The sequence below is a fragment of the Homo sapiens genome, chromosome 3 (assembly GCF_000001405.40).
Source record: "Homo sapiens chromosome 3, GRCh38.p14 Primary Assembly".
Lineage (NCBI taxonomy): Eukaryota > Metazoa > Chordata > Mammalia > Primates > Hominidae > Homo > Homo sapiens.
Window position 1 is genome coordinate 76,199,249 of NC_000003.12, and position 15,382 is coordinate 76,214,630.

Sequence of the window (15,382 nt, forward strand, 5' to 3'; positions counted from 1 at the left end):
TGGCTGGCTTTGAAGATGTAGGAAGGAGTCAAACCCCAGGAATGTCACAGCCTTTAGAAACAGCAAATAGCTCTCAGTTGACAGCCAGCTAGAAAAATGGGTACCTTGGTCCTACAACCTCAAGCAATTGAACTCTTCCAAAAACTCCAACGGGAGGGAAATGGATTCTCCCCTAGAGCTTCCAGAAAGGAATGCAGCCTGCTAACAGATGATCCTAATTCCTTGAGACCCATATAGAACCTCTGACCTACAGAGCTGCCACAAAATAACCCCGTATTGTTCAAGCTGTTGAATTGTTGGTAACTTCGTGAGAGGATGAATGTACAAATGGATAATGGCCAGACCATAAATAAAAATAGAAACCTGACCCACAAACTCTGCAACAGCCAGTCCAGGAAGCCAAACCACAAGCTATTCAGCAGTTGGCCCAAAATGATCAACACTCTGTCAATAACTGTCAACTTCTCTAGTTTTGTTCCCACTTCCAATTTAGGACCAACCAGAGAAAGCCAAATATGCGTCTCAACTCGAACAGATAAAATGCCCCACTTCGACTTTGACTGCCTACAGCTTCTCTATGCCAATAATCTCCAGTTAAACCTTCCATTTTTTCTACTATAAAGTTTCTTTACTCACTGGCCCACCTTTGAGCCTTAGCCAAATTCAAGTAATAGTGGCTGACTGTCTCTGTATAGCAAACTCTAAATACTTAGCCTTTGTGTATTCTCATGTGGATGGTCTTCCTTTATTTCCACTATAGGAGAGGGATAAAAAAACAACTTTTTTCTCTATTTATCTGAAGTTCTCTAGCAAGGGCCCTGTAAACTAGACTAGCAAAAGACAGATTAACAACAGAAAAACATATGGAAGTTTATTAATGTGTGCATCACACATACACATGGGAGCATTCAGAGATGAGTAACTCTGAATAGTTAGAATTGGACTTAAATGCAATCTTAGGCTAAACAAAGGAAAAGGGGCTTGGGTCTGGGGAAGGAGCAAGGTGACCAAGAAAAAGTATGGTCAGTGCCTTTTCCATCAACAAGGGTTGTGAAGAGTTCTCCTTCTTCTGGTGTGGGAAAGGGATGCATTTGTAATTTGTAATTTCCATTTACAAATGGAAAATCACTTTGTAAATGGAAATACTTTTTATAAAAGGAAAGCTCATGCCCTGTTTTTGGAGCTTTTCCTGAATCCACTGGTTCTCAATGGCCTTTAGCTCAAAATAATTCATATGTCAAAGAGGCATATTTGGGAGTGACATATTCTGGTACCTTGCACCAAATTTGTCAGAAAAGCAATAGATTAATACGTCCAGTATAGGGGGCAACTTAAGCAAGCAAAAGAATGTGGGGATGAATGACAGAATTAAATTAATTTCTCTGTTAACAAAGGCTACAGCAGACCATGCAGAAACATACCACCAAGCATCTCCACATACAGACTAGCACTTTTGGTCATGTAATGGAGGACCAGATTATCCTATAGTAGGGTGGCAAGAAGCATCATAGAACCAAACTGTGTTCAGATTCAGATACTGTCTTCACATTGTTGCCTAGCCATGAGTGGGGCCACTTAGTGCTGGTGAACAGTGGGCAGCTTGGAGCCAGCTCACACGTTAGATTTGGACCCCTTACAAAACTAGCATGTGGGTTCTTGAGTTATTAATTGAAAAAATAAAAATAAAGATTTATTGATGTTTTTTCCTCAGGTTTGTGGAGCATGAAATCATGGTCACCTTCCACTTTCCACTTTAAACATTCGTAGGGTTTGAATTATTTATATTGAGCAGGCATTACTTTTATGATCAGAAAAAGAAAACAGCACAAAGACAGGCTAATTTTGCAAAACAACAAAACAAACCCTGAGGTTTATAAATGGTTTTAATTTTTTTCTGAATCAGTCTTTATGCCACAACAGTCTTCTCAGTTATTTGTGAATATTAAGAGAAATTGTTTCTGAAAAATCCATGCAGTGAGTTAGAAGTTTCCTCTGAAAATCCAATTTTTATACTTAATCTTATGCGAGTGGATTATTACCAATTTTAATTTTTTATTCATAACGTTGCCACTTCCAGTCTCACAGGTATCTTTCCATTATTCTTAGGACCGTCATGCATTGAACTCCATTGCATTACATCTCAATTATCTTGTTCCTTAGTTAAGAGGATGAAGACTTACCTTAAGTTAGAGTTTTAGAAATCGAGAGATATTCTCCATACAAACTATCCCTGAACAAAAGCAAAGTATGTCACTAATGTGCCATCATTGTTGAACTATGTCCCTGTGGCCATTGTAAACAATTGCCAGCAAAATGACACTATGTTAATTAAAGGTTGCCGTTACCCTCTTCAAAGCTGAGGTTATAGCTCTTCCCCATCTGTTAATTTTATATTATTGGAATTTAGATTTCTTGAGGAAGCAGACGGCCATAAACTTTCACAGGTGTTCATGGTGCACTGCCTTAACTTTATATGCTGAACAGGTACAGCTTGAAGTTTGCTGGGCTGCACAGGGAATTAGTGCTTTAAATGATGTGTGGGTAGAGAATTAATTTGTTTTGAACTACCTGAAGAAAATTCAATATACTGTGCACAGTGGTTCATGCTTACTTGACATGGTGCAATACAACGAGAAATGTCAAAAAAAAAAAAAAAAAAAAAAGAGATTTAAAGAAACCCTGAATTGTATTCTTCAAACCAGCCCACCACTTGTCCTGCTAATAAAACGCCAAACAAGAACATGATCCAAGGATACTGCAGTGGATGAAAATGGAACAAATAGGGAAGCACTCATGCATCAGTGACTGCTTCAATGTTTATGTGCATAGCACAGCTCATCTCTACTCCCCTGAAATAAAAATAAAATGCAAATCTGCATTTACATTTTGGACATCTTCACAATATTTTCCACATATATCGTGTTATGCTTCACTTGGCAATGTTCTGTCTCACTTGAATGAAGCCCTTCGACTGTTTCATAATTCATAAAATGGAGAAGAAAAGAGAAAAAGAGAGGAGAGAGCAATATAATGCCTAGACTTGTAGGTATTTTCTGCAAAAATATAAATTGTTTAAAAGCAAGGAGGATATCTTACCACACATGAAATGAATATAAAACTGTAGGAAACGCGGATTGATGAACATGATACAGATTTATTGAATCAACTATTTAATAATACTGCTTATCTAAATCATGTACCTTGTAGACAGAACTTTATTTCAGTGCTTTATCCCACCACAAAGGATGTTGCTTGGCATGAAAAAATAACCTGATCAACATTTGTTGAATTTATTAAATGGATCATAGGTGCAGACAGACTGGAAGAGACCAAATGTGTACACTTTATAATTACTGGTGAAATTGCAGAATAATTATTGAAGCAGTTGTACAACCAAAATTTTTTTCCATGATACAGTCATCTAAAGGGTGCTGCCGATTCCTGTGTAGTTATGGGTGTGGGTGTTTGTGCAGGAAAAGAAGTAATGTGTATATAATGGTGATGGAACTGACCACTGGTGAGGCTTATGAAAAAGACAGTACATTTCCATTGTTTCTCTTTGTTCTGGAGATGGTTGATGTCCTAGGTCACATATTCTGCCCAAAAGTCTACCAGTTGACTTGTTGATCTACTGTCTCTGATATACCTTGGGCTCTCTAGGCAGAGTGACACTGTGTTCAGGTGTCTTGGACTGTTGAAATACTTTAGTAGCTGTGTGTAGTTCATGAGTCCAAACTGGATCACACTCTTCCCTCCTAAAATATATTGAATAACTTAATTATAGAACAACCCTTAGAAATTACAATTCCTGACTCAAATGTATGTCTTTTAAGAGCAAAATTCAGCCGCAGGCAAAAATTTAACTGATTGCCTAAAACAATGTACCCGTGTATGTCTTTCAAATCCCCCCCAGATCCACACTGCTACCCTCTCCCAACCTACTTTGTACTCAGAAAGGTTGACTGATACGGACTCCATCAATGGCCTTCCAGTTGGTTTGGCCAATGGAAAGCCACAAAAAACTCAGAAGGAGGAATGAAAGCGAAGCCAAGGTATTAATTTATTCTACTTTCTCACTGTGAGATTGCCTCAGGCTATCAGCTTCCCCTGTCAACAGATCACAGGTCAGGGTTCTAGTAACCTGAGTGAGATTGCCTCAGGCTCTCGGCTTCCCCCATAATTTCTTCTCCTTTCTCACCATGAGATTCTCAGGCTGTCGGTTTCCCTGGTCAACAGATCACAGGTCAGGGTTCTAGTAATCTGAGTGAGATTGCCTCAGGCTATCGGCTTCCCCCATAATTTCTTCTCCTTTCTCACCTTGAGATTGCCTCAGGCTCTCGGCTTCCCCGTCAAGAGATCACAGGTCACGGTTCTAGTAACCTGTGTGAGATTGCCTCAGGCTATCGGCTTCCCGGTCAACAGATCACAGGTCACGGTTCTAGTAACCTGAGTGAGATTGCCTCAGGCTATCGGCTTCCCCCATAATTTCTTCTCCTTTCTCACCATGAGATTCTCAGGCTAGCGGCTTCCCGGTCAACAGATCACAGGTCAGGGTTCTAGTAATCTGAGTCAGATTGCCTCAGGCTATCGGCTTCCCGGTCAACAGATGACAGGTCATGGTTCTAGTAACCTGATCTTTTCTTTGCTGTTTAGTGGTAGGTGTAAGAAGATGCCTTGCTGTTCCTGCCCGCAGTACTGAACCAGGCATTGCATTTTCCTCACACAACAGCTTGCACTTTTGTAAATAATGCCTTTAATAAATTCTCCTCAGATTACCTGATTTGAGTATATATCATCTGTTTCCTGCCTGGACCCTGATTGATACAGTCTCTAAGTGGTAACTAAAACATTTTAAAGTATTTGAAGTTTTAAACTGCACCCATTTGTTACTTTAAATTTCCTAAGTGATAGTAGTTTGGGAGGAACTGAATAAGAAATTCTTATCTATTTTTTTCAACAAAGAAATTCCTGTTTACTTGCAACTATTTTAAAGTTAAGTAACTACTTAGAATTGAGGAGAAAATAATAAAGCTTTTCTTTTGAGAAATGGAAGCTGTCAAGACTTTATTACCGCGAGGAAGCACTGAAAGTAATCAAGGCTCTTCTGCAAAATGTGATGTGTACCTTTCTGTCAAATACCATTAACTTACAGGTTTGAATTATAGTTCTATTTCACAAAATAGTATGATGGAATCACACATACTATTAGAAGCTGAGAGTTCTGTTTAAAATCGACTCTTCTTTGTTCTGGAGAGAAATAGAATGTTCTAAAATATATCCTTCTAATCAACTATTAATAGCTAATTCAATAGCCACCTGCATCGAATTCTGCTGTTCTCAGAATAGAACACCTTGATATTTTGAGAGAATGTGTTTGCTCTCCCACTTCTGTGTAAGTGAGCTACAAGGAGAATTTCATGTGAATTAGTGGGTAAAGTGTTATCTTCATGTAACCCATAAATTGAGCATTTTGTCTCCTATTGGCTACATATCACAATCTGAGTTCATCTTGCAGATATCCCATTATGTGCCAGAGAATCACATGTGGGTGGGAGCATATAAAGAAATGCTGAAAGATGTTAAATAAAAACTGTATGAACAGTGTGTCTTATTTTATTAAAGATTTGTTTTCTGTGGGCCTTTTTGTAAAAAATATGTGGGGGATATGGACATTCTATAGATAAATTTCATTGGAAATTCATAGAGTCAGTGAATATTTGCAAAGTATGAAAAAGAAATTTTAAAAATCTTTATTTGGAAATATCACTGAGACGAAGTTACCCTTAGGTTTAGATGGCTTGGATAAAGGCCTGAACAACTAGTATAATTAGTTAAAAAACAGACAAAAGTCTTCTCTACTTACCAACTCATGAAATGGAGATGATCCTCGTATTTTTTCCTCTAGAAAAATACGCTAAAGCTGTATTGAGGATTAAATGAGACAAAGTCTTATAAAGTTCCTAGCACAATTCCCAGCTCTGCTGTTGTTATTATTTTGTACCCGTGAGTTCAACAGAAATGCTGCTGCTTCTTTTTTAATTTCAAATAAGAGGAGTAGATTTTGGTGAGAGAGAATAAGGCCAAGATGGAAGTGAGGAGAGGCTGGTAAGTACCTTTTGGAAAAGAGAAAAGTCAGTGGGCAAGTGGAGCAACCTGGCTGCACTAGATCAAGAAGCATCACACTCCTGCTCGTGAAAGGCAAGGGAAGAACCTTCTAGACCTCTAGGCTGCCACCACATGCCCATGTGAGTTACAGCTCGTCTGTATAGAGGATTTGTTTAACTCTACTAAGAGTCCATGTCTTTCATTATCTACTAAGAGTCCATGTGTTTTATTACCTAGCATCTTCCCATTGAACAGGTTTATCACCAGAAACGTAGTTGAACTTAAGTCAGCTTTCCCCAGGTTTACACAGCCCCTCCCTCCTCTTTGCTTTTCAGGCCTGGAGGGTTAAGAGCTTTGCTCTTGCACGTCTCTGGGGGCCATGCCATCCCTTTTGGGTTCCTGTTCACGGATCTAAGAGTATCCCCTTCATAAAATTCTTCTCCAGTACCTCCGTTTGAGGGTTCTGCCTGTTTTCTAACTTGTCACTGATAGAAAAGGAAGCATTTCAGGGGTGACACACTAGCATCTGGCTATACAAGCACAGCTAACAACCATCTAGCCATGGGCTGGGACTCAAACTCGAACTGTTCAACTTTTTACTAGTCCACTTCCCCTTGACTCACCAGGGCTGAATCTGGAAGCAGAAGAAAAGAATGTCAAAACAAAGAGAGAGAGGTGGCTGTCCCTCTAGTCCCCCTGGAGCCCAGTTATTGTTCAAATACTTCTCTGCTCTCTCTCTACAAATAAAGTCGTACAATTCCCCACTCTTAGAGAGCTGACCATCACCTGCAGCCCGCTAAAGCACAAAAGCCTTTAGAACTTCTTACTTGACCTGGCTGCCCCAAAGCCTCTCAGGGGCAGGTTTTACTGGTTGAATCATTGCCTTACATTACTGTCTGAGAGCTGTCCTCATTTACTATTTTCTAAATAGTTTAATAAGTTATCATTGGCCTATTTTTAAACTTAATTAATATCAATTTCTGCTTTTCTTGGTGTTTGCCATTTTGTGTCACATTATATGGCTGATTTGAAGATTTCCATCTCTAATTAATGTATTAATTATCATAAGCAATTTCTCAAATTTGAATATGGAAAATCAAAAAGGCAATAAATTTCCCTTATCAAGTGCTCTGGGTCCAACGTGCATATAGACACTCACATGTGTTAAAAGTTCAGAGTGCCTCCTTCACCACTGCTTGAGTGATTTCCCTTATCAAGTGCTCTGGGTCCAACGTGCATATAGACACTCCCATGTGTGAAAAGTTCCGAGAGCCCCCTTCACCACTGCTTGAGTGCAAGGAATAGTCTTGGGTATTTCCTTCATTGAGCTTTACTTTCATTGGGCATTCACTATCTGTTTCATCTTGGAAGATATGCTTCATCTCTCTGACCCTCACCTTTATCCTTTATAAAAGGGGATTCTAATACATCCCCCATGGAAGATTGTGAGAATAGAGGGTAGTAATGTGCAAAGCATCTGTACCCACAGCTAGGCACATCATTAATGACAGTCAACCCTGTTAAACATTGATATTAGTTTCCAGCATCAGTCCAGACTTAACAGCCTCAGAGCCACACAATCCCAATCCCATTAGAAAAGATTATGCATTTTTTTCATTCCCATGAGTTTAGGTTAATATAAATTTTAGATATAACCACTAGAACCATTAATATGCAAGGTAATTTGTCACAATTCCCTTCATAATTAACTTTAGCTCACAAACTCTATCAGAAGCATTTAAGCAGGAAATCAACAGTATATTAGACAAGGCTTTAAACCAGTTTTATTTTATATACTGAGCCTTACTTATAGCTATGCGATAAGGTAATATCAAGTCTATGCAGAAAATATTTTATCTTCTAGTAAGTTTTATTATTATGGATTTAAAATTTTAAATAAATACTGTTTTGCAGTTTAACCGATATGTTTACAAATTAGTGGTAGTTAAATATATTCTTAAAACAATTTTGGAGTTATTTTACTGAAAGATCTATTCATAGTATGACCTGGACAATCTTGGAAGTATACGAAGTGTTAGTTACATGTGGGCTATAAATTTATGATGTTAATTTTAGTATTTTCTCTAGTATGTTTATCATTGCTATCTTTAAATTAATTTGATGTATTAAAACACTCAAAAATAAGAAAGCTTCAATTAATATATTTAAAAATGAATTTATCATTCTGAATATTATTCCTTTTTGTTCACATATTCACTAAACATTTCTGAAAATCACCTGTGTGACAAATATGTGAGATACTGGGAAAATAGATGGATTAGACACAATGCCTACCCTCAAGGAACTTGGTGAAATTGACAAATGAAAAATCAATGGATTAAATATGAATTTGTGCTGTAACAGAAGTGTCCGTAGGGATAATGTGGATCACAAAGGAGGAAGGAGCGATGTTTCTCTTATATGTAAAAGGTTAGATTTTATTAAGAAGATGATGCTGAAATCAGATTTTGGAAAGGAATGTGATATGGTTTAGATCTGTGTCCCCACCCAAATCTCAGGTCAAATTATAGTCCCCAGTGTGGGAGGTGATTGAGTCATGGCAGTGTTTTCTCATAAGTGGTTTAACACCAGCACCTTCAGTGCTGTTCTTATGATAGTGTGTGAGTTCTTGTGAGATCTGGTTGTTTAAAAGTGTTTAGCACCTCCCCACTGTTACTCTTCCTCCTGTTCCAGCCCTGTGAACTGCTCTCCCCTCTTTGCCTTCTGCCGTGGCTGTAAGTTTCCTGAGGCTTTCCCAGAAGCCGAGCAGATGCCAGATCATGTTTCCTGTACAGCCTGTGGAGCCATGAGCCAATTAGTCCTCTTTTCTTTATAAATCACCCAGTCTCAGGTATTTCCTTATAGTGGTGCGAGGATGGACTAATACAGAATGTTCTGAGTGATCAAGATTAGAATGAAGTTCCTGGAGGAATGCTCTCCTTGTAATGGAAATGCCCTGTTTGCCTTATGTTGACCTCAGAATTAATCATCATTTATTTGAAATAAATTCAGTGAAATATAATACTTTTTCAAATACATATTTATATGCTTGAGTAACTTATTCTTTTAGTGTTCTCAAAAGTACTCTAAATTCTATGTATCCCAGTTAATAATGTCAAGGTTCCCATAGGCACTGAGCAAGCACCGTGTCTCTTAGACACCAAAGATCTTAGACACGTGATTTCCCAGCTTTTGTACTTTGTTTTCTTAACATACTTTCGTATAAAATGTGAACGCTAAAGTAACTCCATCTGAGAAAATAATCTGCCACGTTGACTTCTGATTACAGTTCTAGAAATCTCTCTGAGATTTCCTGTTCCTTTATTGTTTCCTGTGTAAAAGCACACACTTTACCATAAATTCTGCCCTTAGATACGATTTGTACCCATTTCCTCTGAAGCACATGTATCCTTTCCCTATGTTGTATAATCCCCGGGTCTGGGGGATAATGGCACGGACATCTACCTAGCTTCTGGCTTCCAAAACGACACTTTTGTCAGTAAATTACCCAATAAAATCCCCCTATAATGACAAGCTGAACGTGTCTGGCTCCTTTGGTTTCTTGGCTCCTTCTGCATTTGGAGGTCGTTTTGCATGTACCTGCTTTCATGAAACAAATGTGAATTTTGTTCAAAGACTTTTTATTACTACTCCCAGGAAAAAACATGTGAAATAGTTGAAAATGGGCAAAAAAATTGTATATTACCAGATGTCTATGCACTCTTCCAGATTATCCCCAACTTTGTCAGAACTATTTTTATTTCTCTAAACTGTTACATGGCAAGGCATGTGATCTTGTCCACAGACAATCAGATGGAAGGGCAATTGATGCCCAGTCCCTTTCCCAGTGGAAAAAGCCAGTTTTGTAACTATTTGTAAATTCATTTTTGCTTTCCTGTCAGACCTACCTAGATATGGCACTTTATTTCTCCTTTGAATCAGTTGTAATATCTTAGTCATTCTCTTATTAACTAAGGAATTGAACAAACTCTTTGATATGTGTTCATTTTATATTGGTATGAAAGTTTTTATTTTAACTATTTTTGAAAATATAAGATTCTCTTTAGTCCCAATAGATGCAGCCAGTACATTATATAAATATCGAATAATTTATCTGTATGGTATAGGATAATTGAAGAGGAAAAAAACAGCAATATCATAGTGGTATATACAAAATGTTTAGATTTTCTGGGGAAGGTGGGAATACTTCATAGGCGGGGCAAGACTGTCTCTTCTATGCCCCTCAGGAATACTTCATAGGAAGGTAAGATTGGTGTTAATTTTAAAGAGAGTTGACATCAAATAATATTCTAGGCATAGGATGTAATTCTTGTACAAAGATGTAATAAATATAGCAGTGTAAAAAGATGTGTCGTGCTCATGGAATTATTTCATAGCAGCTGGGGATTAAACTACACAGGGGTATAGAGAATAAACATGGTCAACAATGACCCTGGAAATGGTAGCTTGAAAACAGATTCAGAAGACATTCATATTGAAGCATTTAGAATTTATCTTCTATGGAATACAGAGGCATTGAAGAGGTGACATGATCAAATTTGACTTTTTATGAATCAAGCAAAGGATGGATTAAATGATGGAATATTATAGTAAAAGAAAAAAACATTCAGGCCCAGAACTTCATCACTTGAGTTGATTGGACACTCTTTGGTCTAGTCCAGTAGCACTGGAAATAGAGCAGAGAGGAATAGCATAAACCATTAAAATGAAAACTGCAGATATTTGCATGTTACAGGAATGACAAAGAACTCTCCCTTCTAATATATGTAAATGTTTGGTGTGATAATTATTCCCAAAATCAAAATAAGCAATTTTTAAGAAACCTAATGTGTAAGTTTGTTAAATAAATTTCAAAATAAAAAAACACATATTTCTAGGAATCTTGTATTTGACCCTTTTCCAAATGTGCTACTTTGTTAGTAAGCTATCTCAACTTCTAAACTACTCATGAAGGAAAGCTAAAAAATCAGTGGACTCTCTAGCCGTCTGAAAAAGAATATTATACACACAGCATTTTAAAATTATTGAGCCATAATTGATATTTTTGTCTACTAGGCACAAATCAATTTTAAGAAACTTTAGGATATAATGGCTTAAAGAACCCAAACAGTAGGTTATATTGTGCCTTTGATTATTAAGTGTAAAAAAATTTGTTCTCAATCAATACCAAATTTATTTTTAGCCTGATTAAGAGCTTCTTTCTATGTGCTATATTTAAACAGAGTTAATAAATATAAATGCTGTTTTGATTGAAAAATTCTATCTAGCTTTTAATATTACATTTTTCATCTCCAAAAAAGGGGCAAATAGAAAAATGTGCTTTATTTTCAGTAGGCTGTGTGATTAATGTTATAATCAAGTGTTTATAAAGTATCTAATCATGCAAGTTGCACAAAGAACTTTGTAAACCTGTTCTTTCCCCTCTAGGTAAGATGCAGGATTCTTATTTATCGACATTCAGGGTTAGCCCTAGATGACTTACTACAATTATTAAATCTATCATTTGTGTATAATTTAAAGTTTTATAATACTTTTGCTTGCACCTTCTAAAGTAATTATCTGCTCAGCACTCTGAGTTAATATGCTCAGCATTTACTCATGAGGAAATTAACTTGGAGAGGTTAAAGTGTTTTAACCAATCTTTTGTAATGAGTGACGTAGAAAAAAATTCATTTGTCACCTGATATCAACTTAACTACCTCTTCTAATTTTCCATCCACAGTTATTTACTCACTCTTGCCAAACCTCAACACCAGCCTAGGACACTGACAATGTTTGCCCTTCTATAAAGCGCTTCAGGAGCCATACTTACCCTTGCAACTTCTCCCTTTCTGTACAATTTTCCATTTCTTTAGCAAAGATGACTTGAGTTCATAGTTTGCTAACTTAGAAAATTTTACTCATAATTAAACATATAGAGTGAAGAGCTCATAGTCATTTTATTCTTTAGAGGATGTTTGATTTGAAATTTAAGAACTTGTTCAGCTAAAGTCAGCCTGGAATTTTAGAAAAAAGAATGTCAGATAATAGATGATAGTATTTTATGACATCCTTTTCTTTTAGTGATGTGACCTACTATTTTAGGATTAAAAACTTAACTTTTAGAGATTATATATAGGAAACTGACATGTCAGAATGAAAAATGATTGAGTTAACACATGATTGGGAGAAACATGTTCATTTTAGAAATTCCTTACAAGCAATGCTTTTTAGCATCATAGAAGACAAATCATAATTATGGAGAATAATTAAATGCTTATCTACAGAAGCTGTGTGTCCAAGTTCAGATGCCATACAGACTTTTAGAGGTATTTTAAAAATGTATTTCCTGAAGTGTATACATTTTTTGTACACTGTTTTATTTCATAATTTAAAGATTCTGTCTTTCAATGATGGATAAAAGATGAATTAGTCAGCTGTTGATATAAATTCAAAATTACTTTTACCTTTTACTTGATATACCTAAAGTATATCAGAGTAGTTGCAAATTAGCTGGATTTAGGATTTTGTCTGGTTAATAAAAGATAATAAATTGCTTTAAACATGTTTCTTTTAATATGAAACAAGTGACTACAATTGAGGTTAATTAATAAGAAATTTCATACCTGATAGATTTATGATGAATTTTGAAGTAGATTTCTAGAAATACATTTATGCATTTCATGTTTATACAAATTAACTAGAATAACCATAATAAGTATATTTTTGAAAAAAAGGAATTATTCAATTATGTATGTTCTTTAAGTAGGTGAACCAGCTAACCTCTCTAATAATATATAATATACAAATTTTATAACATTCTTTAATTCTTTCATTTAACCATAATCAATCAGACATAATTCTGTGTTTAGTATTTTACTACCTAATGGGGACGTGTAAATAACGGAACATGGTCCTTCCTGAAGAGCTTGCAATCGTATGGAGAAGACAGATTAGAAGACAGATGCAAATATAATTGAAAACAATTTATTTTTGATATTAGAATTTCTATTTTGTTTATTAAAAGAGGGACAGGGCCCGAGATAATGTAATATGCATTATTACAGGCTAAAATAGAAATCAGAAAATATAATTTAAAATATATATTTAAACTTAAGTTCCAGTTTATAAGAGGAAACTAAAAACTTAATGTTCTTAGCAATTAGATTTTTTGTTTTTTATCTTGGAATATTTGTTAGTTTGTTTCTAAATGCTAGAATAAAAAGTAGGTGTAAAAAAATAGTGTCATTTATTATGCAATAAGATCAGGACTAACTCTGGGCTAAAATTACAAGTGTGGTAGGATTTATCCATTTGATAATTAATTCTGATTCATCATTAAGGTCAGATTTCTGCTGCGTAAGTTTTCCCTTGTCCATTCAGTACTTGCTTCTCTGTAGTTCTCCCCATTAGGCTGAAATATCCCAGCATTCCTTAATGTCACATCTTAAGGTTCACATGTGAGATACCTTGGTACTAACCCATGGAGCCTCTCTCTCTCTCTCTCTCTCAGTTTGACTAACTTCTTTAAAAGCCTTCCTTATATCATGGTGTTCTTAGTTTCACTTTTGGTATTTGGCTTTCAAAGGGAATTTCTCAAGGGTAAAGGTGAATGCTACAGAAATCTTAAGGCCTATTTTGTAAGTTAAACACTATCTCTTTAGCCACATTATGTGTCACAAGGTAGGAACGCATATACTACTTGACAGAAGGAGAGACAAGAAATTTTTGGTTCTCTTTAATTCACTGTACAGAGGCATAGGGAAAGATGGGTAGAATTTCAATGATACATAACAGAAAGTTATCTTGAGAGAGAGATTTTGGATTGGCCATTATAACCTTAAAACAAACTCTAGAAAATTCAACAGAGGTACTCGCTTTCAGACAAATTATCATAGTAAACAAGAAAAAGAATCTTGAAAATCAGAGAAGAAAGGAAAAAATATATATTTTAGAAGAAGTTATCTAATGTAATCCTAAACTAGTCTTTTAAAGAAGTGTTAAGATAAACAAAAAAGAAGAGTATGGGAAATTCCTTTTAAAAAGTGGATATGATTGTTTCGCCAATACTAGACTATACTCTTAGTGTTTATTTCTGATCCTTATGTTGTGAAAAGAAAAATGAGAATGGTTCCATAGATAATATTCAATGAAATAAAATTCAAAAAGGTAGTGTATTCTTTTTTCTAAGGAAATTAATCAGTGTTAATTCACCTTTATACATCTATTTTTAAATAAAGTACTAAGAGATTTCTTTAATTTATAGAACATTTTGCAAATATCTTGCATTTATCAAAGTGGAGCACATGGAAAAACAATGCACATAAAGGTAGAAAATCAGGTTTTTGTGGTGTAAAGTCAAAAAACTTTTAGACTTTAAGCTTTGAATTTGAATGTCAAGTTCTTATTAGACATATTTTATCGTTATTAATTTGACATGTATTGAGAATAAATTAAGCAAAGGAATACAAAACACAGAGAATAGCAATGTTGGACCCTATGCCACCTGAATTTATCAAGGTGTTCTAGAAAAATAGAACCAATAGGATAAATACAGTATAGATAGATAGATTTAGATGATATAGATATAGATATACATAAGAGGAGATGGATCTTCTCTACTCGGTCTGCTAATCGAAATGTTAACGTCTTCCAGAAGCACCCTCACAGATGCACCCAGGAATAATGTTTTGCCAGCTATCTGAGAATCCCTTAGCTCAGTCAAGTTGACAGATAACATTAATTATCACAATCCACCCCTTGTCAATTTGGCACCCATACGCATCTCCTTAAACTATACTTGCTCTTCAAATAAAGACAATAGCAATGTGATAATTTCTCCAGCATGATACAACAGTCCATACAACTGAAAACACACTAATCCACTCCTCAGAAAAGAAGCTAAAGTCCTAGCTGTGATTTCAATGTTCATGTCCCCTCCAAAATTTGTGTTAAAACTCGGTCCCTCAGTGGGTGCAGTACACCGAGCATGAGCCAAAGCAGGACGAGGCATTGCCTCACCCAGGAAGCACAAGGGGTCAGGGAATTCCCTTTCCTAGTGAAAGAAAGGGGTGACAGATGGCACCCGGAAAATCTGGTCACTCCCACCCTAATACTGTGCTTTTCCAATGGGCTTAACAAACAGCACACCAGGAGATTATATCCCGCACCTGGCTTGGAGGGTCCTAAGCCCATGGAGCCTCACTCATTGCTAGCACAGCAGTCTGAGATCGAACTGCAAGGCAGCAGCAAGGCTGGGGGAAGGGCGTCCGCCATT

At 36.2% G+C, this 15,382-nt stretch overlaps 1 protein-coding gene across 9 annotated transcripts in view, besides 1 other annotated feature; it reads left to right on the forward strand.

Annotated features, from left to right (window-relative positions):
- ROBO2 (roundabout guidance receptor 2) overlaps positions 1-15,382 on the forward strand; it is a 1,743,290-nt gene that overhangs the window by 292,574 nt on the left and 1,435,334 nt on the right. The gene's annotated exons all lie outside the window — the stretch shown is intronic.
- Positions 3,454-4,653: an enhancer, noted in NCBI's record as "CDK7 strongly-dependent group 2 enhancer chr3:76251853-76253052 (GRCh37/hg19 assembly coordinates)". NCBI's record gives its function as "activates an origin of replication core promoter dependent on BRD2, BRD4, P300/CBP, MED14 and CDK7 cofactors, with strong dependence on CDK7, by STARR-seq in HCT116 cells {active_cell/tissue: HCT116}" and the evidence as "EXISTENCE:reporter gene assay evidence [ECO:0000049][PMID:35650434]".